The sequence below is a fragment of the Homo sapiens genome, chromosome Y, assembly GCF_000001405.40.
Source record: "Homo sapiens chromosome Y, GRCh38.p14 Primary Assembly".
In the NCBI taxonomy this organism is placed as follows: domain Eukaryota; kingdom Metazoa; phylum Chordata; class Mammalia; order Primates; family Hominidae; genus Homo; species Homo sapiens.
Genome location: NC_000024.10, coordinates 23,228,003 through 23,253,646, shown reverse-complemented (window position 1 = coordinate 23,253,646; position 25,644 = coordinate 23,228,003). Strand labels below are relative to the sequence as shown.

The 25,644-nt window shown below is 33.5% G+C and overlaps 1 protein-coding gene across 7 annotated transcripts in view; it reads right to left on the bottom strand.

Moving 5' to 3' along the window:
• The window catches only part of DAZ2 (deleted in azoospermia 2), a 71,900-nt gene that overhangs the window by 37,710 nt on the left and 8,546 nt on the right, over positions 1–25,644 (bottom strand). For 2 of the 7 annotated variants that reach the window (NM_020363.3, NM_001005785.2), the window contains exons 6-13: positions 25,450–25,589; positions 23,978–24,049; positions 21,535–21,606; positions 19,144–19,215; positions 16,748–16,819; positions 14,366–14,437; positions 11,970–12,041; positions 4,813–4,884 (exon numbers count right to left, since the gene is read on the bottom strand). In NM_020363.3, coding sequence (NP_065096.2) covers positions 4,813–4,884; positions 11,970–12,041; positions 14,366–14,437; positions 16,748–16,819; positions 19,144–19,215; positions 21,535–21,606; positions 23,978–24,049; positions 25,450–25,589 — 644 coding nt within the window. Of the gene's footprint in view, positions 1–34; positions 107–2,430; positions 2,503–4,812; positions 4,885–7,189; positions 7,262–9,585; positions 9,658–11,969; positions 12,042–14,365; positions 14,438–16,747; positions 16,820–19,143; positions 19,216–21,534; positions 21,607–23,977; positions 24,050–25,449; positions 25,590–25,644 lie in introns of all 7 variants that reach the window. The other 5 variants (NM_001389303.1, NM_001388494.1, NM_001388495.1 and 2 more) reach the window with 5 other exon arrangements.

Sequence of the window (25,644 nt, the reverse complement as noted above, 5' to 3'; positions counted from 1 at the left end):
TAAAAGCAAATCATTTTACTCCCTCTGACATTACCTGATAATTGTATACAGGGAACTGATATCCAGTGGCGACTTGAAATGGTGAATTTGGATAAGCAGGAAATGCCTGAAAAGAAAGGTTCCAGAAAAAAATGAATACGGTAAACCATTTTTTTAAAATTAGAAAGAAATATAATTCTGAATATAACAAAAATAGGTAAAATATTGTTTTTCTACATACAATAATGCAGAATTCTAAATGAATGACTGACTTTATGAAGAAAGAAAGATTCTATGACAAGTGCTACACTTTGGGAGTGAAGGGGGAACTAATGACAAAAGAATTGACTATTTCACCAAAGTTTACCTTATACTGTGTACTTATTCACACCCAGAAGTTATTTCTTACACTGGTGGTAAGGCTCCATTAAGAGAGATTGCAAGGTAAGTTAAATTAATACATTTGCTATTTCCCTGTCAGAATATTTCTAGACTGTTTTGTATCAGACAATATTATAGGACAATATATAGTTTGACAGATGTTATGGCTTTGTCTGTACTTCATTACGAAAAACTAAGTGCAGTCTATAATCCAATACTGGACAAGAGAAAGTATAATGTCTTATATGTTTCAAAAAATTTTTATTATCTGAAAACATACAGGTAGCAGCATACATGAATACACCCAGATTCAGTAATCGCTCACAGTAAATGACAGAAACAAGTAAGGCTTTTTTTCTAGCCATTGTTCAGAGAAGGAAAAAGAAGAGGTATACCATACATGTTTCAAGTACATGGAAAATATCACGAAATTAGAGACAACCGCAGAACTATTTCACTATTATTTTGTTACTTCATTTTCCATCAAAGAAAATGTCTTTTAAGCTAACACATAAATAAAACGAACTAAGAAGAATATAAAGGTTAGTTATCAACATTAAGTGATGGAGTATGTCAAACCCTACTTTAAATATCAGTGTAACCAGAATCAGAGAAATTAGACGCCAGAAGCTCACGGGGTTTATATATATACTAAACCACATCAGAAATCTACCCATTCCAGAAGAAGAATATTTCCAGAAGTCAGCAATTTATATGAGGAGGCATCCGGAAATCATTTCAAATAAAGAATAGCTAGATGAACTGCTAAACTTACCAAAGAATAAAGTAGGCAGACACATAAGGGGAGCTGCTTTCATTCACTTTAGGAACTGGTTATAAGGGGGAAAGCAGCTCCGGTGATTTGGCGGTAATACTCTCGTTTACTCCTATTCTCATTTAAGCGTCATTAACAGCAAAGCATTTCTGTTTCTCTTCTATAAATATTCTATTGCTGGTAAAGCCAGAGGCAGATTCTATGCAGATACATGCTAATTGTAAAGTCACATGAACACTACCTTTCTTTGATTATATAGTCTGTCATTATATGGACCTGCCATTGCTTAACCACATAAAAACCTGAGGGCAAAAAAGGCACTCTTGCTCCCATGGGAGTTTATAATCGGGTTAACAAGAAAGTAACAACAACAAAAAAATTAATATAAAGAATCACTTAAAAATATTTATAGGCATATATGACATGGAAAAAAATCAAGAATGAACAGGAAATCTATGTTTGGCTAATTCACTTAACGTCAAGGACAACATAATCCTTTGCTCCCCAACAGGACCTTATGGTGGCATCTTAAAAAAAAAAAAGAAAGAAAAAGAAAGAAAAAAAAAGGACACCGAAACTATTATATGTATTCCTACACATTTTCAAAAACACATGAGAAATACAACATTGAAGTACTTATCCGGCTGTCTCCTTTTTCATTATAATAAAAGTAACAGAAAGGAAAACTTAAGTACTTTATGTTTCTAGTCCATGACATTCTTGTTACTTTTATATTGGAAACTTCACCTTTCTCCAAATTTTCGGGAGTTGGCAAGGTGGAAACCTCAAAGATACTACCTCTTTCAGTTTCTTACCATAGATGTAATTATGGGTCATAGATATACTTGTATCTATGAAAAGAGATCCAGAGCATTACTATCTTCAAACAGCCAGCTAAAATGAAAATGTAATTGGGATTCTGTGCTCTGAAAAGTGCAGCATAAATTTATTTCACTCTATCTCCCTAAGAAAATTCATGAAAGTCAGTTTGGATGTTTCATTCAGCTATTTCACAGTAAAGATGAAAACTGCATCCAGAAATAAAGAAGAGAACACCACATCTCAGAAATCTCTTCTACAGAAAAGTTATTGCCAAGTATATTCCTCTCAAAATACTACTTCATTACTTCTAAATAAGACAGAGGTCTTCATTCTACACTACTTCTACGTGTTTCCTTAAATTTTAGGTACACTTCACTAATTTAAAATGACCAACTATTCAGGAAATTTGTATAAACAAGTTGAATGCCTCAGTAATACCTGAAAGTAAATCATTTTACTCCTTCTTACATTACCTGATAATTATATACAGGCAACTGATATCCAGCAGTGACCTGAAATGGTGATCTTGGATAAGCAGGAAATGGCTGAAAAGAAAGGTTGCAGAAAAAAATGAATATGGTAAACCACTTTTTAAAATTACAAAGAAATATAATTCCCAATATAACAAAAATATTACAAAAGGTAAAATATCCTTTTTCTACGTACAACAATGCAGAATTCCAAATGAATGACTGACTTTATGAAGAAAGAAAGATTCTAGGTCAAGTGCTACACTATGGGTGTGAAGGGGGAACAAATGACAAAAGAATTGACTACTTCACCAAAGTTTACCTTATACTGTGTACTTATTCACACCCAGACGTTATTTCTTACACTGGTGGTAAGGCTCCATTAAGAGAGATTGCAAGGTAAGTTAAATTAATACATTTGCAATTTCTCTGTAAGAATATTTCTAGACTGTTTTGTATCAGACAATATTATAGGGTAATATGTAGTTCGACAGATGTTATGGCTTTGTCTGTACTTCATTACGAAAAACTAAGTGCAGTCTATGATCCAATACTGGAGAAGAGAAAGTATAATGTCTTACATGTTTCAATAAATTCTTATTGTTTGAAAACATACAGGTAGCAGCATACATGAATACACCCAGAATCAGTGATGCCTCACAGTAAATGACAGAAAAAAGTAGGACTTTTTTTCTAGCCATTGTTCAGAGAAGGAAAAAGAAGAGGTATACCATACAAGTTTCAAGTACATGGAAAATATCAACAAATTAGAGACACTGCATAACTATTTCACTATTATTTTGTTACTTCATTTTCCGTCAAAGAAAATGTCTTTAAAGCTAACACGTCAATAAAATGAACTAAGAAGAATATAAACGTTATTTATCAACAGTAGGTGACAGAGTATGTCAAACCCTACTTTAAATATCAATGTAACCAGGATCAGAGAAATTAGATGCCAGAAGCTCACGGGGTTTACATATATATACTAAACCACATCAGAAATCTACCCATTCCAGAACCAGGAAATATCCAGAAGTCAGCAATTTATATGAGGAGGCATCTGGAAATCATTTCAAATAAAGGATAGCTAGATGAACTGCTAAACTTACCGAAGAATAAAGTAGGCAGACACATAAGGAGAGCTGCTTTCATTCACTTTAGGAACTGCTTATAAGGGGGAAAGCAGCTCCGGTGATTTGGAGGTAATACTCTCGTTCACTCCTGTTCTTATTTAAGCGTCATTAACAGCAAAGCAATTCTGTTTCTCTTCTATAAATTTTCTATTGCTGGTAAAGCCAGAGGCAGATTATTGGCAGATACGTGATAATTCTAAAGTCAAGTGAATACTACTTTTCTGTGATTATATAGTCTATCATTATGTGGACCTGCCATTGCTTAGGCACATAAAAACCTGAGGGCAAAAAAGGCACTCTTGCTCCCATGGGAGTTCATAATCGGGTTAACAAGAAAGTAACAACGACAAAAAAATTAATATAAAGAATCACTTAAAAATATTTATAGGCATATAGGACATGGAAAAAAATCAAGAATGAACAGGAAGTCTATGTTTGGCTAATTCCCTTAACGTCAAGGACAACATAATCCCTTTGCTCCCCAACAGGCCCCTAAGGTGGCATCTTTAAAAAAAAAAAAAAAAAAAAGGAAACCAAAACTATTAAACTATTCCTACATATTTTCAAACACACATGAGAAACACAGTATTGAAGTACTTATTCCGCTGTCTCCTTTTTTATTATAATAAAAGTAACAGAAAGGAAAACTTAAGTACTTTATGTTTCTTGTCCATGACATTCTTGTTACTTTAAATTTGAATCTTCACCTTTCTCCAAATTTTTGGGAGTTGGCAATGTGGAAACCTCAAAAATACTAGCTCTTTCAGTTTATTACCATAGATATAGTTATGGGTCATAGATATACTTGTATCTATGAGAAGAGATCCTGAGAATGACTACCGTCAAACAGCCAGCTAAAATGAAAATATAATTGGAATTCTGTGCTCTGAAAAGTGGATCATAATTTTATTTCACTCTATCTCCCTAAAAAAATTCATGAAAGTCAGTTTGGATGTTTCATTCAGCTATTTGACAGCAAAGATGAAAACTATATCCACAAATGAAGAAGGGGACACCAAATCTCAGAAATCTCTTCTACACAAATGTTATTGCCAAGGATATTCCTGTAAAAATATTACTTCATTACTTCTAAATAAGACAGAGGTCTTCATTCTACACTAAGTCTTTCCTTAAATTTTAGGGACACTTCACTAGTTAAAAATGACCAACTATTCAGGAAATTTCTATAAACAAGTTAAAGGCCTCAATAATACCTGAAAGCAAACCATTTTACTACCTCTTACATTACCTGATAATTGTATACAGGCAACTGATATCCAGTGGTGACCTGAACTGGTGAATTTGGATAAGCAGGAAATGCCTGAAAAGGTTGCAGAAAAAATGAATATGGTAAACCACATTTTAAAATTAGAAAGAAATATAATTCCCAATATAAGAAAAATATTACAAAACGGAAAATATCCTTTTTCTACATACAACAATGCAGAATTCCAAATGAATGACTTTATGAGGAAAGAAAGATTCTATGTCAAGTGCTACACTTTGGGTGTGAAGGGGGAACAAATGACAAAGAACTGACTACTTCACCAAAATTTACCTTATACTGTGTACTTATTCACACCCAGAAATTATGTCTTACACTGGTGATAAGGTTCCACTAAGACAGATTGCAATGTAAGGTAAATCAATACATTTGCAATTTCGCTGTAAGAATATTTCCAGACTGTTTTGTATCAGACAATATTGTAGGGTAATATGTAGTTCTATAGATGTTATGGCTTTGTCTGTATTTCATTCCAAAAAACTAATTGCAGTCTATATTCCAATACTGGAGAATAAAAAGTATAATGTCTGACATGTTTCAACAAATTCTTATTGTTTGAAAACATACAGTTAGCAGCATACATGAATACACCCAGAATCACTAATGCCTCACAGTAAACGAGAGAAACAAGTAGGGCTTTTTTTCTAGCCATGGTTCAGAGAAGGAAAAAGAAGAGGTATACCATACATGTTTCAAGTACATGGAAAATATCAACAAATTAGAGACACAGCAGAACGATTTCACTATTATTTCATTACTTCATTTTCTGTCAAAGAAAATGTCTTTTAAGCTAACACATCAATGAAATGAACTAAGAAGAAAATAAACGATATTTATCAACAGTAAGTGACACACTATGTCAAACCCTACTTTAAATATCAATGTAACCACGATCAGAGAAATTACATGCCAGAAACTCACCGGGTTTATATATATATACTAAACCACGTCAGAAATCTGCCCATTCCAGAACCAGAATATATCCAGAAGTCAGCCATTTATATGAGGAGGCATGTGGCAATCATTTCAAATAAAGGATAGCTAGATAAACTGCTAAACTTACCGAAGAATAAAGTAGGCAGACACATAAGGAGAGCTGCTTTCATTCACTTTAGGAACTGCTTATAAGGGGGAAAGCAGCTCCGGTGAGTTGGAGGTAATACTCTCCTTTACTCCTATTCTTATTTAGGCGTCATTAACAGCAAAGCATTTCTGTTTCTCTTCTATAAATTTTCTACTGCTGGTAAAGCCAGAGGCATATTCTGTGCAGACACATGCTAATTCTAAAGTCACGTGAATACTCCCTTTCTTTGATTATATAGTCTATCATTATGTAGACCTGCCATTGCTTAAGCACATAAAAACCTGAGGACAAAAAAGGCACTGTTGCTGCCATGGGAGTTTATAATCGGGTTAACAAGAAGGAAACAACAACAAAAAAAACATTAACATAAAAAGTCACTTAAAAATATTTGTAGGCATATATGACATGGAAAAAAATCAAGAATGAACAGGAAGTCTATGTTTGGCTAATTCCCTTAATGTCAAGGACAACATAATCCCTTTGCTACCCAACAGGCCCCTAAGGTGGAATCTTAAAAAATCAATTAATAAATAAAAGGAAACCAAAACTATTGAAGTATTACTACACATTTTCAAAAACACATGAGAAACACAATATTAAAGTACTTATCCTGCTGTCTCCTTTTTTATTGTAATAAAAGTAACAGAAAGGAAAACTCAAATACTTTATGTTTCTAGTCCATGACATTCTTGTTACTTTTACATTGGAAACTTCAGCTCTCTCCACATTTTCGGGATTTCGCAATGTGGAAACCTCAAAGATACTAGCTCTTTCAGTTTATTACCGTAGATATAATTATGGGTCACAGATACACTTGTATCTATGAAAAGAGATCCAGAGCATTACTATCGTCAAACAGCCAGCTAAAATGAAAATGTAATTGGGATTCTGTGCTCTGAAAAGTGCAGCATAATTTTATTTCAGTCTATCTCCCTAAGAAAATTCATGAAAGACACTTTGGACGTTTCATTTAGCTATTTGACAGTAAAGATGAAAACTACATCCAGAAATGAAGAAGAGAACACCAAATCTCAGAAATCTGTTCTACAGAAAAGTTATTGCCAAGTATATTCCTGTCAAAATACTACCTCATTATTCTAAATAACACAGAGGTCTTCATTCTACACTAAGTGTTTCCTTAAATTTTAGGTACAATTCACTAGTTTAAAATGAGCAACTATTCAGGAAATTTGTATGAACAAGTTAAAGGCCTCAATAATACCTAAAAGCAAATCATTTTACTCCCTCTGACATTACCTGATAATTGTATACAGGGAACTGATATCCAGTGGCGACTTGAAATGGTGAATTTGGATAAGCAGGAAATGCCTGAAAAGAAAGGTTCCAGAAAAAAATGAATACGGTAAACCATTTTTTTAAAATTAGAAAGAAATATAATTCTGAATATAACAAAAATAGGTAAAATATTGTTTTTCTACATACAATAATGCAGAATTCTAAATGAATGACTGACTTTATGAAGAAAGAAAGATTCTATGACAAGTGCTACACTTTGGGAGTGAAGGGGGAACTAATGACAAAAGAATTGACTATTTCACCAAAGTTTACCTTATACTGTGTACTTATTCACACCCAGAAGTTATTTCTTACACTGGTGGTAAGGCTCCATTAAGAGAGATTGCAAGGTAAGTTAAATTAATACATTTGCTATTTCCCTGTCAGAATATTTCTAGACTGTTTTGTATCAGACAATATTATAGGACAATATATAGTTTGACAGATGTTATGGCTTTGTCTGTACTTCATTACGAAAAACTAAGTGCAGTCTATAATCCAATACTGGACAAGAGAAAGTATAATGTCTTATATGTTTCAAAAAATTTTTATTATCTGAAAACATACAGGTAGCAGCATACATGAATACACCCAGATTCAGTAATCGCTCACAGTAAATGACAGAAACAAGTAAGGCTTTTTTTCTAGCCATTGTTCAGAGAAGGAAAAAGAAGAGGTATACCATACATGTTTCAAGTACATGGAAAATATCACGAAATTAGAGACAACCGCAGAACTATTTCACTATTATTTTGTTACTTCATTTTCCATCAAAGAAAATGTCTTTTAAGCTAACACATAAATAAAACGAACTAAGAAGAATATAAAGGTTAGTTATCAACATTAAGTGATGGAGTATGTCAAACCCTACTTTAAATATCAGTGTAACCAGAATCAGAGAAATTAGACGCCAGAAGCTCACGGGGTTTATATATATACTAAACCACATCAGAAATCTACCCATTCCAGAAGAAGAATATTTCCAGAAGTCAGCAATTTATATGAGGAGGCATCCGGAAATCATTTCAAATAAAGAATAGCTAGATGAACTGCTAAACTTACCAAAGAATAAAGTAGGCAGACACATAAGGGGAGCTGCTTTCATTCACTTTAGGAACTGGTTATAAGGGGGAAAGCAGCTCCGGTGATTTGGCGGTAATACTCTCGTTTACTCCTATTCTCATTTAAGCGTCATTAACAGCAAAGCATTTCTGTTTCTCTTCTATAAATATTCTATTGCTGGTAAAGCCAGAGGCAGATTCTATGCAGATACATGCTAATTGTAAAGTCACATGAACACTACCTTTCTTTGATTATATAGTCTGTCATTATATGGACCTGCCATTGCTTAACCACATAAAAACCTGAGGGCAAAAAAGGCACTCTTGCTCCCATGGGAGTTTATAATCGGGTTAACAAGAAAGTAACAACAACAAAAAAATTAATATAAAGAATCACTTAAAAATATTTATAGGCATATATGACATGGAAAAAAATCAAGAATGAACAGGAAATCTATGTTTGGCTAATTCACTTAACGTCAAGGACAACATAATCCTTTGCTCCCCAACAGGACCTTATGGTGGCATCTTAAAAAAAAAAAAGAAAGAAAAAGAAAGAAAAAAAAAGGACACCGAAACTATTATATGTATTCCTACACATTTTCAAAAACACATGAGAAATACAACATTGAAGTACTTATCCGGCTGTCTCCTTTTTCATTATAATAAAAGTAACAGAAAGGAAAACTTAAGTACTTTATGTTTCTAGTCCATGACATTCTTGTTACTTTTATATTGGAAACTTCACCTTTCTCCAAATTTTCGGGAGTTGGCAAGGTGGAAACCTCAAAGATACTACCTCTTTCAGTTTCTTACCATAGATGTAATTATGGGTCATAGATATACTTGTATCTATGAAAAGAGATCCAGAGCATTACTATCTTCAAACAGCCAGCTAAAATGAAAATGTAATTGGGATTCTGTGCTCTGAAAAGTGCAGCATAAATTTATTTCACTCTATCTCCCTAAGAAAATTCATGAAAGTCAGTTTGGATGTTTCATTCAGCTATTTCACAGTAAAGATGAAAACTGCATCCAGAAATAAAGAAGAGAACACCACATCTCAGAAATCTCTTCTACAGAAAAGTTATTGCCAAGTATATTCCTCTCAAAATACTACTTCATTACTTCTAAATAAGACAGAGGTCTTCATTCTACACTACTTCTACGTGTTTCCTTAAATTTTAGGTACACTTCACTAATTTAAAATGACCAGCTATTCAGGAAATTTGTATAAACAAGTTGAATGCCTCAATAATACCTGAAAGTAAATCATTTTACTCCTTCTTACATTACCTGATAATTATATACAGGCAACTGATATCCAGCAGTGACCTGAAATGGTGAACTTGGATAAGCAGGAAATGGCTGAAAAGAAAGGTTGCAGAAAAAAATGAATATGGTAAACCACTTTTTAAAATTACAAAGAAATATAATTCCCAATATAACAAAAATATTACAAAAGGTAAAATATCCTTTTTCTACGTACAACAATGCAGAATTCCAAATGAATGACTGACTTTATGAAGAAAGAAAGATTCTAGGTCAAGTGCTACACTATGGGTGTGAAGGGGGAACAAATGACAAAATTGACTACTTCACCAAAGTTTACCTTATACTGTGTACTTATTCACACCCAGACGTTATTTCTTACACTGGTGGTAAGGCTCCATTAAGAGAGATTGCAAGGTAAGTTAAATTAATACATTTGCAATTTCTCTGTAAGAATATTTCTAGACTGTTTTGTATCAGACAATATTATAGGGTAATATGTAGTTCGACAGATGTTATGGCTTTGTCTGTACTTCATTACGAAAAACTAAGTGCAGTCTATGATCCAATACTGGAGAAGAGAAAGTATAATGTCTTACATGTTTCAATAAATTCTTATTGTTTGAAAACATACAGGTAGCAGCATACATGAATACACCCAGAATCAGTGATGCCTCACAGTAAATGACAGAAAAAAGTAGGACTTTTTTTCTAGCCATTGTTCAGAGAAGGAAAAAGAAGAGGTATACCATACAAGTTTCAAGTACATGGAAAATATCAACAAATTAGAGACACTGCATAACTATTTCACTATTATTTTGTTACTTCATTTTCCGTCAAAGAAAATGTCTTTAAAGCTAACACGTCAATAAAATGAACTAAGAAGAATATAAACGTTATTTATCAACAGTAGGTGACAGAGTATGTCAAACCCTACTTTAAATATCAATGTAACCAGGATCAGAGAAATTAGATGCCAGAAGCTCACGGGGTTTACATATATATACTAAACCACATCAGAAATCTACCCATTCCAGAACCAGGAAATATCCAGAAGTCAGCAATTTATATGAGGAGGCATCTGGAAATCATTTCAAATAAAGGATAGCTAGATGAACTGCTAAACTTACCGAAGAATAAAGTAGGCAGACACATAAGGAGAGCTGCTTTCATTCACTTTAGGAACTGCTTATAAGGGGGAAAGCAGCTCCGGTGATTTGGAGGTAATACTCTCCTTTACTCCTCTTCTTATTTAGGCGTCATTAACAGCAAAGCATTTCTGTTTCTCTTCTATAAATTTTCTACTGCTGGTAAAGCCAGAGGCATATTCTATGCAGACACATGCTAATTCTAAAGTCACGTGAATACTCCCTTTCTTTGATTATATAGTCTATCATTATGTAGACCTGCCATTGCTTAAGCACATAAAAACCTGAGGACAAAAAAGGCACTGTTGCTGCCATGGGAGTTTATAATCGGGTTAACAAGAAGGAAACAACAACAAAAAAAACATTAACATAAAAAGTCACTTAAAAATATTTGTAGGCATATATGACATGGAAAAAAATCAAGAATGAACAGGAAGTCTATGTTTGGCTAATTCCCTTAATGTCAAGGACAACATAATCCCTTTGCTACCCAACAGGCCCCTAAGGTGGAATCTTAAAAAATCAATTAATAAATAAAAGGAAACCAAAACTATTGAAGTATTACTACACATTTTCAAAAACACATGAGAAACACAATATTAAAGTACTTATCCTGCTGTCTCCTTTTTTATTGTAATAAAAGTAACAGAAAGGAAAACTCAAATACTTTATGTTTCTAGTCCATGACATTCTTGTTACTTTTACATTGGAAACTTCAGCTCTCTCCACATTTTCGGGATTTCGCAATGTGGAAACCTCAAAGATACTAGCTCTTTCAGTTTATTACCGTAGATATAATTATGGGTCACAGATACACTTGTATCTATGAAAAGAGATCCAGAGCATTACTATCGTCAAACAGCCAGCTAAAATGAAAATGTAATTGGGATTCTGTGCTCTGAAAAGTGCAGCATAATTTTATTTCAGTCTATCTCCCTAAGAAAATTCATGAAAGACACTTTGGACGTTTCATTTAGCTATTTGACAGTAAAGATGAAAACTACATCCAGAAATGAAGAAGAGAACACCAAATCTCAGAAATCTGTTCTACAGAAAAGTTATTGCCAAGTATATTCCTGTCAAAATACTACCTCATTATTCTAAATAACACAGAGGTCTTCATTCTACACTAAGTGTTTCCTTAAATTTTAGGTACAATTCACTAGTTTAAAATGAGCAACTATTCAGGAAATTTGTATGAACAAGTTAAAGGCCTCAATAATACCTAAAAGCAAATCATTTTACTCCCTCTGACATTACCTGATAATTGTATACAGGGAACTGATATCCAGTGGCGACTTGAAATGGTGAATTTGGATAAGCAGGAAATGCCTGAAAAGAAAGGTTCCAGAAAAAAATGAATACGGTAAACCATTTTTTTAAAATTAGAAAGAAATATAATTCTGAATATAACAAAAATAGGTAAAATATTGTTTTTCTACATACAATAATGCAGAATTCTAAATGAATGACTGACTTTATGAAGAAAGAAAGATTCTATGACAAGTGCTACACTTTGGGAGTGAAGGGGGAACTAATGACAAAAGAATTGACTATTTCACCAAAGTTTACCTTATACTGTGTACTTATTCACACCCAGAAGTTATTTCTTACACTGGTGGTAAGGCTCCATTAAGAGAGATTGCAAGGTAAGTTAAATTAATACATTTGCTATTTCCCTGTCAGAATATTTCTAGACTGTTTTGTATCAGACAATATTATAGGACAATATATAGTTTGACAGATGTTATGGCTTTGTCTGTACTTCATTACGAAAAACTAAGTGCAGTCTATAATCCAATACTGGACAAGAGAAAGTATAATGTCTTATATGTTTCAAAAAATTTTTATTATCTGAAAACATACAGGTAGCAGCATACATGAATACACCCAGATTCAGTAATCGCTCACAGTAAATGACAGAAACAAGTAAGGCTTTTTTTCTAGCCATTGTTCAGAGAAGGAAAAAGAAGAGGTATACCATACATGTTTCAAGTACATGGAAAATATCACGAAATTAGAGACAACCGCAGAACTATTTCACTATTATTTTGTTACTTCATTTTCCATCAAAGAAAATGTCTTTTAAGCTAACACATAAATAAAACGAACTAAGAAGAATATAAAGGTTAGTTATCAACATTAAGTGATGGAGTATGTCAAACCCTACTTTAAATATCAGTGTAACCAGAATCAGAGAAATTAGACGCCAGAAGCTCACGGGGTTTATATATATACTAAACCACATCAGAAATCTACCCATTCCAGAAGAAGAATATTTCCAGAAGTCAGCAATTTATATGAGGAGGCATCCGGAAATCATTTCAAATAAAGAATAGCTAGATGAACTGCTAAACTTACCAAAGAATAAAGTAGGCAGACACATAAGGGGAGCTGCTTTCATTCACTTTAGGAACTGGTTATAAGGGGGAAAGCAGCTCCGGTGATTTGGCGGTAATACTCTCGTTTACTCCTATTCTCATTTAAGCGTCATTAACAGCAAAGCATTTCTGTTTCTCTTCTATAAATATTCTATTGCTGGTAAAGCCAGAGGCAGATTCTATGCAGATACATGCTAATTGTAAAGTCACATGAACACTACCTTTCTTTGATTATATAGTCTGTCATTATATGGACCTGCCATTGCTTAACCACATAAAAACCTGAGGGCAAAAAAGGCACTCTTGCTCCCATGGGAGTTTATAATCGGGTTAACAAGAAAGTAACAACAACAAAAAAATTAATATAAAGAATCACTTAAAAATATTTATAGGCATATATGACATGGAAAAAAATCAAGAATGAACAGGAAATCTATGTTTGGCTAATTCACTTAACGTCAAGGACAACATAATCCTTTGCTCCCCAACAGGACCTTATGGTGGCATCTTAAAAAAAAAAAAGAAAGAAAAAGAAAGAAAAAAAAAGGACACCGAAACTATTATATGTATTCCTACACATTTTCAAAAACACATGAGAAATACAACATTGAAGTACTTATCCGGCTGTCTCCTTTTTCATTATAATAAAAGTAACAGAAAGGAAAACTTAAGTACTTTATGTTTCTAGTCCATGACATTCTTGTTACTTTTATATTGGAAACTTCACCTTTCTCCAAATTTTCGGGAGTTGGCAAGGTGGAAACCTCAAAGATACTACCTCTTTCAGTTTCTTACCATAGATGTAATTATGGGTCATAGATATACTTGTATCTATGAAAAGAGATCCAGAGCATTACTATCTTCAAACAGCCAGCTAAAATGAAAATGTAATTGGGATTCTGTGCTCTGAAAAGTGCAGCATAAATTTATTTCACTCTATCTCCCTAAGAAAATTCATGAAAGTCAGTTTGGATGTTTCATTCAGCTATTTCACAGTAAAGATGAAAACTGCATCCAGAAATAAAGAAGAGAACACCACATCTCAGAAATCTCTTCTACAGAAAAGTTATTGCCAAGTATATTCCTCTCAAAATACTACTTCATTACTTCTAAATAAGACAGAGGTCTTCATTCTACACTACTTCTACGTGTTTCCTTAAATTTTAGGTACACTTCACTAATTTAAAATGACCAGCTATTCAGGAAATTTGTATAAACAAGTTGAATGCCTCAATAATACCTGAAAGTAAATCATTTTACTCCTTCTTACATTACCTGATAATTATATACAGGCAACTGATATCCAGCAGTGACCTGAAATGGTGAACTTGGATAAGCAGGAAATGGCTGAAAAGAAAGGTTGCAGAAAAAAATGAATATGGTAAACCACTTTTTAAAATTACAAAGAAATATAATTCCCAATATAACAAAAATATTACAAAAGGTAAAATATCCTTTTTCTACGTACAACAATGCAGAATTCCAAATGAATGACTGACTTTATGAAGAAAGAAAGATTCTAGGTCAAGTGCTACACTATGGGTGTGAAGGGGGAACAAATGACAAAATTGACTACTTCACCAAAGTTTACCTTATACTGTGTACTTATTCACACCCAGACGTTATTTCTTACACTGGTGGTAAGGCTCCATTAAGAGAGATTGCAAGGTAAGTTAAATTAATACATTTGCAATTTCTCTGTAAGAATATTTCTAGACTGTTTTGTATCAGACAATATTATAGGGTAATATGTAGTTCGACAGATGTTATGGCTTTGTCTGTACTTCATTACGAAAAACTAAGTGCAGTCTATGATCCAATACTGGAGAAGAGAAAGTATAATGTCTTACATGTTTCAATAAATTCTTATTGTTTGAAAACATACAGGTAGCAGCATACATGAATACACCCAGAATCAGTGATGCCTCACAGTAAATGACAGAAAAAAGTAGGACTTTTTTTCTAGCCATTGTTCAGAGAAGGAAAAAGAAGAGGTATACCATACAAGTTTCAAGTACATGGAAAATATCAACAAATTAGAGACACTGCATAACTATTTCACTATTATTTTGTTACTTCATTTTCCGTCAAAGAAAATGTCTTTAAAGCTAACACGTCAATAAAATGAACTAAGAAGAATATAAACGTTATTTATCAACAGTAGGTGACAGAGTATGTCAAACCCTACTTTAAATATCAATGTAACCAGGATCAGAGAAATTAGATGCCAGAAGCTCACGGGGTTTACATATATATACTAAACCACATCAGAAATCTACCCATTCCAGAACCAGGAAATATCCAGAAGTCAGCAATTTATATGAGGAGGCATCTGGAAATCATTTCAAATAAAGGATAGCTAGATGAACTGCTAAACTTACCGAAGAATAAAGTAGGCAGACACATAAGGAGAGCTGCTTTCATTCACTTTAGGAACTGCTTATAAGGGGGAAAGCAGCTCCGGTGATTTGGAGGTAATACTCTCCTTTACTCCTCTTCTTATTTAGGCGTCATTAACAGCAAAGCATTTCTGTTTCTCTTCTATAAATTTTCTACTGCTGGTAAAGCCAGAGGCATATTCTATGCAGACACATGCTAATTCTAAAGTCACGTGAATACTCCCTTTCTTTGATTATATAGTCTATCATTATGTAGACCTGCCATTGCTTAAGCACATAAAAACCTGAGGACAAAAAAGGCACTGTTGCTGCCATGGGAGTTTATAATCGGGTTAACAAGAAGGAAACAACAACAAAAAAAAATTAACATAAAAATCACTTAAAAATATTTGTAGGCATATATGACATGGAAAAAAATCAAGAATGAACAGGAAGTCTATGTTTGGCTAATTCCCTTAACGTCAAGGACAACATAATCCCTTTGCTACCCAACAGGCCCCTAAGGTGGAATCTTAAAAAATCAATCAATAAATAAAAGGAAACCAAAACTATTGAAGTATTGCTACACATTTTCAAAAACACATGAGAAACACAATATTAAAGTACTTATCCTGCTGTCTCCTTTTTTATTGTAATAAAAGTAACAGAAAGGAAAACTCAAATACTTTATGTTTCTAGTCCATGACATTCTTGTTACTTTTACATTGGAAACTTCAGCTCTCTCCACATTTTCGGGATTTCGCAATGTGGAAACCTCAAAGATACTAGCTCTTTCAGTTTATTACCATAGATATAATTATGGGTCACAGATACACTTGTATCTATGAAAAGAGATCCAGAGCATTACTATCTTCAAACAGCCAGCTAAAATGAAAATGTAATTGGGATTCTGTGCTCTGAAAAGTGCAGCATAATTTTATTTCAGTCTATCTCCCTAAGAAAATTCATGAAAGACACTTTGGACGTTTCATTTAGCTATTTGACAGTAAAGATGAAAACTACATCCAGAAATGAAGAAGAGAACACCAAATCTCAGAAATCTGTTCTACAGAAAAGTTATTGCCAAGTATATTCCTGTCAAAATACTACCTCATTATTCTAAATAACACAGAGGTCTTCATTCTACACTAAGTGTTTCCTTAAATTTTAGGTACAATTCACTAGTTTAAAATGAGCAACTATTCAGGAAATTTGTATGAACAAGTTAAAGGCCTCAATAATACCTAAAAGCAAATCATTTTACTCCCTCTGACATTACCTGATAATTGTATACAGGGAACTGATATCCAGTGGCGACTTGAAATGGTGAATTTGGATAAGCAGGAAATGCCTGAAAAGAAAGGTTCCAGAAAAAAATGAATACGGTAAACCATTTTTTTAAAATTAGAAAGAAATATAATTCTGAATATAACAAAAATAGGTAAAATATTGTTTTTCTACATACAATAATGCAGAATTCTAAATGAATGACTGACTTTATGAAGAAAGAAAGATTCTATGACAAGTGCTACACTTTGGGAGTGAAGGGGGAACTAATGACAAAAGAATTGACTATTTCACCAAAGTTTACCTTATACTGTGTACTTATTCACACCCAGAAGTTATTTCTTACACTGGTGGTAAGGCTCCATTAAGAGAGATTGCAAGGTAAGTTAAATTAATACATTTGCTATTTCCCTGTCAGAATATTTCTAGACTGTTTTGTATCAGACAATATTATAGGACAATATATAGTTTGACAGATGTTATGGCTTTGTCTGTACTTCATTACGAAAAACTAAGTGCAGTCTATAATCCAATACTGGACAAGAGAAAGTATAATGTCTTATATGTTTCAAAAAATTTTTATTATCTGAAAACATACAGGTAGCAGCATACATGAATACACCCAGATTCAGTAATCGCTCACAGTAAATGACAGAAACAAGTAAGGCTTTTTTTCTAGCCATTGTTCAGAGAAGGAAAAAGAAGAGGTATACCATACATGTTTCAAGTACATGGAAAATATCACGAAATTAGAGACAACCGCAGAACTATTTCACTATTATTTTGTTACTTCATTTTCCATCAAAGAAAATGTCTTTTAAGCTAACACATAAATAAAACGAACTAAGAAGAATATAAAGGTTAGTTATCAACATTAAGTGATGGAGTATGTCAAACCCTACTTTAAATATCAGTGTAACCAGAATCAGAGAAATTAGACGCCAGAAGCTCACGGGGTTTATATATATACTAAACCACATCAGAAATCTACCCATTCCAGAAGAAGAATATTTCCAGAAGTCAGCAATTTATATGAGGAGGCATCCGGAAATCATTTCAAATAAAGAATAGCTAGATGAACTGCTAAACTTACCAAAGAATAAAGTAGGCAGACACATAAGGGGAGCTGCTTTCATTCACTTTAGGAACTGGTTATAAGGGGGAAAGCAGCTCCGGTGATTTGGCGGTAATACTCTCGTTTACTCCTATTCTCATTTAAGCGTCATTAACAGCAAAGCATTTCTGTTTCTCTTCTATAAATATTCTATTGCTGGTAAAGCCAGAGGCAGATTCTATGCAGATACATGCTAATTGTAAAGTCACATGAACACTACCTTTCTTTGATTATATAGTCTGTCATTATATGGACCTGCCATTGCTTAACCACATAAAAACCTGAGGGCAAAAAAGGCACTCTTGCTCCCATGGGAGTTTATAATCGGGTTAACAAGAAAGTAACAACAACAAAAAAATTAATATAAAGAATCACTTAAAAATATTTATAGGCATATATGACATGGAAAAAAATCAAGAATGAACAGAAAATCTATGTTTGGCTAATTCACTTAACGTCAAGGACAACATAATCCTTTGCTCCCCAACAGGACCTTATGGTGGCATCTTAAAAAAAAAAAAGAAAGAAAAAGAAAGAAAAAAAAAGGACACCGAAACTATTATATGTATTCCTACACATTTTCAAAAACACATGAGAAATACAACATTGAAGTACTTATCCGGCTGTCTCCTTTTTCATTATAATAAAAGTAACAGAAAGGAAAACTTAAGTACTTTATGTTTCTAGTCCATGACATTCTTGTTACTTTTATATTGGAAACTTCACCTTTCTCCAAATTTTCGGGAGTTGGCAAGGTGGAAACCTCAAAGATACTACCTCTTTCAGTTTCTTACCATAGATGTAATTATGGGTCATAGATATACTTGTATCTATGAAAAGAGATCCAGAGCATTACTATCTTCAAACAGCCAGCTAAAATGAAAATGTAATTGGGATTCTGTGCTCTGAAAAGTGCAGCATAAATTTATTTCACTCTATCTCCCTAAGAAAATTCATGAAAGTCAGTTTGGATGTTTCATTCAGCTATTTCACAGTAAAGATGAAAACTGCATCCAGAAATAAAGAAGAGAACACCACATCTCAGAAATCTCTTCTACAGAAAAGTTATTGCCAAGTATATTCCTCTCAAAATACTACTTCATTACTTCTAAATAAGACAGAGGTCTTCATTCTACACTACTTCTACGTGTTTCCTTAAATTTTAGGTACACTTCACTAATTTAAAATGACCAACTATTCAGGAAATTTGTATAAACAAGTTGAATGCCTCAGTAATACCTGAAAGTAAATCATTTTACTCCTTCTTACATTACCTGATAATTATATACAGGCAACTGATATCCAGCAGTGACCTGAAATGGTGATCTTGGATAAGCAGGAAATGGCTGAAAAGAAAGGTTGCAGAAAAAAATGAATATGGTAAACCACTTTTTAAAATTACAAAGAAATATAATTCCCAATATAACAAAAATATTACAAAAGGTAAAATATCCTTTTTCTACGTACAACAATGCAGAATTCCAAATGAATGACTGACTTTATGAAGAAAGAAAGATTCTAGGTCAAGTGCTACACTATGGGTGTGAAGGGGGAACAAATGACAAAAGAATTGACTACTTCACCAAAGTTTACCTTATACTGTGTACTTATTCACACCCAGACGTTATTTCTTACACTGGTGGTAAGGCTCCATTAAGAGAGATTGCAAGGTAAGTTAAATTAATACATTTGCAATTTCTCTGTAAGAATATTTCTAGACTGTTTTGTATCAGACAATATTATAGGGTAATATGTAGTTCGACAGATGTTATGGCTTTGTCTGTACTTCATTACGAAAAACTAAGTGCAGTCTATGATCCAATACTGGAGAAGAGAAAGTATAATGTCTTACATGTTTCAATAAATTCTTATTGTTTGAAAACATACAGGTAGCAGCATACATGAATACACCCAGAATCAGTGATGCCTCACAGTAAATGACAGAAAAAAGTAGGACTTTTTTTCTAGCCATTGTTCAGAGAAGGAAAAAGAAGAGGTATACCATACAAGTTTCAAGTACATGGAAAATATCAACAAATTAGAGACACTGCATAACTATTTCACTATTATTTTGTTACTTCATTTTCCGTCAAAGAAAATGTCTTTAAAGCTAACACGTCAATAAAATGAACTAAGAAGAATATAAACGTTATTTATCAACAGTAGGTGACAGAGTATGTCAAACCCTACTTTAAATATCAATGTAACCAGGATCAGAGAAATTAGATGCCAGAAGCTCACGGGGTTTACATATATATACTAAACCACATCAGAAATCTACCCATTCCAGAACCAGGAAATATCCAGAAGTCAGCAATTTATATGAGGAGGCATCTGGAAATCATTTCAAATAAAGGATAGCTAGATGAACTGCTAAACTTACCGAAGAATAAAGTAGGCAGACACATAAGGAGAGCTGCTTTCATTCACTTTAGGAACTGCTTATAAGGGGGAAAGCAGCTCCGGTGATTTGGAGGTAATACTCTCGTTCACTCCTGTTCTTATTTAAGCGTCATTAACAGCAAAGCAATTCTGTTTCTCTTCTATAAATTTTCTATTGCTGGTAAAGCCAGAGGCAGATTATTGGCAGATACGTGATAATTCTAAAGTCAAGTGAATACTACTTTTCTGTGATTATATAGTCTATCATTATGTGGACCTGCCATTGCTTAGGCACATAAAAACCTGAGGGCAAAAAAGGCACTCTTGCTCCCATGGGAGTTCATAATCGGGTTAACAAGAAAGTAACAACGACAAAAAAATTAATATAAAGAATCACTTAAAAATATTTATAGGCATATAGGACATGGAAAAAAATCAAGAATGAACAGGAAGTCTATGTTTGGCTAATTCACTTAACGTCAAGAACGGAATCCCTTTGCTCCCCAACAGGCCCCTATGGTGGCATCTTAAAAAAAAAAAAAAAAAAAAAAAAAAGGACACCAAAACTATTAAAGTATTCCTACACATTTTCAAAAACTCATGAGAAACACAATATTGAAGTCCTTATCCTGCTGTCTCCTTTTTTATTATAATAAAAGTAACAGAAAGGAAAACTTAAGTACATCATGTTTCTAGTCCATGACATTCTTCTTACTTTTATATTTGAAACTTCATCTTTCTCCAAATTTTCAGGAGTTGGCAATGTGGAAACCTCCAAGATACTACCTCTTTCAGTTTATTACCATAGATATAATTATGGGTCATAGATATACTTGTATCTATGAAAAGAGATCCAGAGAATTACTATCTTCAAACAGCCAGCTAAAATGAAAATGTAATTGGGATTCTGTGCTCTGAAAAGTGCAGCAGAAATTTATTTCACTCTATCTCCCTAAGAAAATTCATGAAAGTCAGTTTGGATGTTTCATTCAGCTATTTCACAGTAAAGATGAAAACTACATCCAGAAGTAAAGGAGAGAACACCACATCTCAGAAATCTCTTCTACAGAAATGTTATTGCCAGGTATATTCCTCTCAAAATACTACTTCATTACTTCTAAATAAGACAGATGTCTTCATTCTACACTAATTCTAAGTGTTTCCTTAAATTTTAGGTACACTTCACTAGTTTAAAATGACCAACTGTTCAGGAAATTTGTCTAAAAAAGTTAAAGGCCCCAATAATACCTGAAAGCAAATCATTTTACTCCCTCTTACATTACCTGATAATTATATACAGGCAACTGATATCCAGTGGTGACCTGAAATGCTGAATCGGGATAAGTAGGATATTCCTGAAAATAAATTATACAGAAAGAATGAATTAATACGTTAAAACATTATTTTTAATTAGGAAGAATTAGTCCCAATATAACAAAACTATGAAAAATTTCGAAATACTAATTATTTTTCTATCTGCAACAATGTAGAATTGTAAGTGACTGACTGATTTATGAAGAACGTATTATTCTCGGTCAAGTGCTATGGTTGGGCGTGGAGGGGGAACAGACAAATGTCAAAAGAACTGGCTATGACACCAGGCAAAGTTAACCTTACTTATATTGTGTACTTATGCCCACCCAGAAGTTATTTCTTGCACTGGTGATAAGGCTGCATTAAGACAGAGTTCAATGTAAGTTAAATTAATACATTTGCTATTTCCCTGTAAAAATGCTTCCAGACTGATGTGTATTTGACAATATTATAAGGTAATACGTAGTTCTGCAGAATTTACGGCGTTTTCTGTACTTCATGTTGAAAAACTAAGTGCAGTATAGAATCCAATACTGGAAAAGAGACAGTATAATGTCTCATATGTTTCAATAAATACTTATTGTTTCAACACATATAGGTAAGCAGCATGCATCAATACACCCAGATTCAGTAATGGCTCACAGTAAATGATAGAAGTAGGGCTTTTATTCCAGCCATTGTTCACAGAAGGAAAAAGAAGATGAGGTATACCGTACATGTTTCAAGTACAGGGAAAATGTCAACAAATGAGAAACACTGAATATAACTACTTCACTACTATTCTGTTACTTTATTTTCCATCAAAGAAAATGTCTTTTAAACTAAGATATAAATAAAATGAACTAAGAAGAAAATAAACGTTATTTACCACCAGTAAGTGACAGAATATGTCAAATCTACTTTAAATAGCAAACTAACAAGGATCAGAGACACTACATGCCAGAAACTTGCGGGATTTACAGATACCTAAAACATATCAGAAATCTACCCATTCCAGAACCAGAATATATCTGGAAGTCAGCAATTTAATATGCAGAGGCATCTGGAAATCATTTCAAATAAAGAATACCTGGATTAACTGCTAAACTTAGAGAAGAATAAAGCAGGCAGACACATGAGGAGAACTGCTTTTAAATATTTTAGTTATATGGGGGAAAGCAGCTCAGGTGTTATAGAGGTAATACTCTTTTTAATCCTATTCTTATTTAAGAGTAATTAACAGCAAAACATTTCTGTTTCTTTTATGAAATTTTTTATGGTTGGTACATCCAGATGCAGATTCTCATCAGATACATGCTATTCTAAAGCCAAATTAATACTACCTTTCTTAGATAAAGCCACATTAGGACTACCTTTCTTAGATTAAATAATCTATCAACAAGTAACTGAACACTTGTCATAATTTGGAGAAGCCATTGCTTAAGCATACAAAAACCTGAGAGAGAAAAAGGCACTGTTTCTCCCATGGGAGATTATAATTGGGTTAAAAAGAAAGTAACAAAACGTTAACACATCAATATAAAGAATCATTAAAAATATTTATAGGCATATGTGCCACACAAAAAATCAAGAAAGAAGAGCAGGTATATGTTTCACTCATTCGCTTTACCGGAGGAACAACATAACTCCTTTGCGCCCCAACAGGCCAGTGCAGTGGAATCTTAAATTAAAAAAAAAAAAAAAAAAAAAAAAGTAACCACAATTATTTAAATACTCCTACACGTTTTCAAAAACACATGAGTTACATAATATTGGAGTATTTATCATGATGGCTCCTTTGTTATAATAAAAGAAACAGAATAGAAAAAAGAAGTACTTTAGGTTTCTAATCCCCAAAGTTCTTGTTGTTACTTCTACACAGAAAACCTCACCTTTTTCCCAATTTTATGGAAACAGAATTGTGGAACCCTCAAAGATATTAATTCTTTGAATTTGTTACCACAGATACAATTATGGGTCACAGATAATAGTTGTACCATTGAAAAGAGACCCAGAGAACTGCTATCATGAAGCAGCAAGCTAAAATAAAAATACAACTGAAATTCTGTGCTCTAAGAATTCGGTAAAGCTTTTATTTCACTCTGTATCTCTACAAGATTCAGGAAAGTCAGTCTGGATGTTTCAGCTCTTTGACAGCAAAGATAACAAAATACATGCTGAAACAAAGAAGGGAACACCAAATCTCAGAAATTGTTCTACGGAAAAGTTATTGCTAAGTACCCTCCTGTCAAAATCTTATTTCATCACTTCTAAATAAAACAGAGGTCCTCATTACACTAATTCTAAGTGATTTCTTAAATTTTAGGTACAGTTCACTAGTTTAAAAGGACAACCTATTCAAGCAATTTGTATAAGCAAGTTGAGGCCTCAATAGTAGCTGAAAGTAAATCATCTTACTCCCTCTTCAATTACCTGATAATTATATACAAGCAACTGACATCCAGTGATGACCTGACCTGGTGAATGTGGATAAGCAGAATAAGCCTGAAAATAAAGTTTACAGAAAGAATGGATTAATACGGTAAAACATTTTCTTTAACTAGAAAGAAATATCATTCCCAAAATAACAAAAATACGAAAAACCTTGAAATGGTAATTATTTTTCTACATACAGAAATACAGATTTCTAAATGAATGACTGACATGAAGAAACAAATATTCTCTGTCAAGTGCTACCCTTTGGGCGGGGAGGGGGAAGAGACAAATGACAAAACAAGTGACTGTTGCACCGGCCAAAGTCTACCATATTTATACTGTGTACTTATGCCCACCCAGAAGTTATTTCTTACGCTGCTGATAAGGCTCTATTAAGATAGATTTCAACGTAAGTTAAAATAATACATTTGCTCTTTCTTTGGCAAAATACTTCTAGACTGTTTGCTATCTGATGATATTATAGGGTAATACTGTAGTTCTTCGGCAGATGTTACGGCTTTCTCTGTACTTCTTTTCCACAAATTAAGGGCAGTAAATAAGCCACAGCTGGAAAAGAGACAGTATAATGTCTTCTACTTTTCAATAAATACTTACTGATTAAAAACATACAGGTAGCATCATTCATCAATACACCCACATTCAGTAATGGCTCACAGTAAATGCTACAAACAAGTAGGGCTTTTCTTCTAGCCATTGCTCAGAGAAGGAAAAAGAAGAAGAGGTGTACCCCACACGTTTCAAGTACATGGAAAATGTCAACAAATGAGAGACACTGAAGAACTAATTCACTACTATTTGGTTACTTTATTTTCCATCGAAGAAAACCTCTTTTTAAAAACTAACACATAAATAAAATGAACGAAGAACAAACTAAACGTTATTTATCACCAGTAAGTGACAAGAGTATGTCAAATCCTACTTTAAATATCAAAGCAACCAGCATCAGAGAAATTACGTGCCAGAAACTCACGGGATTTCTAGATAGAGCAAAAGAGATCAGAAATCTACCCATCCCAGAACCAGAATATACCCAGAAGTCAAGCAATTTATATGAGGAGGCATCTGGAAATCACTGCAAGTAAAGAATAGCTAGGTTAACTGCTAACCTTAGAGAACAATAAACTAGGCAGACACATAAGGAGGGCTGCTTCCAAATACTTTAGGAACTAGTTATATGAGGTGAAAGAGGCAGAGATAGGAAGAGATTTGTTCATGTGTCTACAGAGGTCATTTCTAAGAGAAAGCTTCGCCAAGTATACAGAAGATTCTTAGCTCAAATGACGAACACGAAGAATAAGAAATTTCTAACAAAAGTAACAGATTTCCCGTTACTCACACTGTTCAAACAGGGATTCTATTGCCACTTACTATGGAAAGTGTAGATACAATTCCACAGAGGGAAGGATGACTAGAATAAACAAGAGAACAGGAACATAAGCAGTTCTTACCTGAACGTGCTGAGTTACAGGATTCGGCGTGATTTGGGGCTGCAGGTAGGTTTCAGTGTTTGGATTCCGCCAGACGTTCTGAAACTGTGGTGGAGGAGGAGGATTAACTACCAAAGGACGTGGCTGCACATGACGAGCACCTTTTTAAAAAGCAAGAAGAAAAAAGCCTATTTTTAGTTATTTGAAAAGCTACAC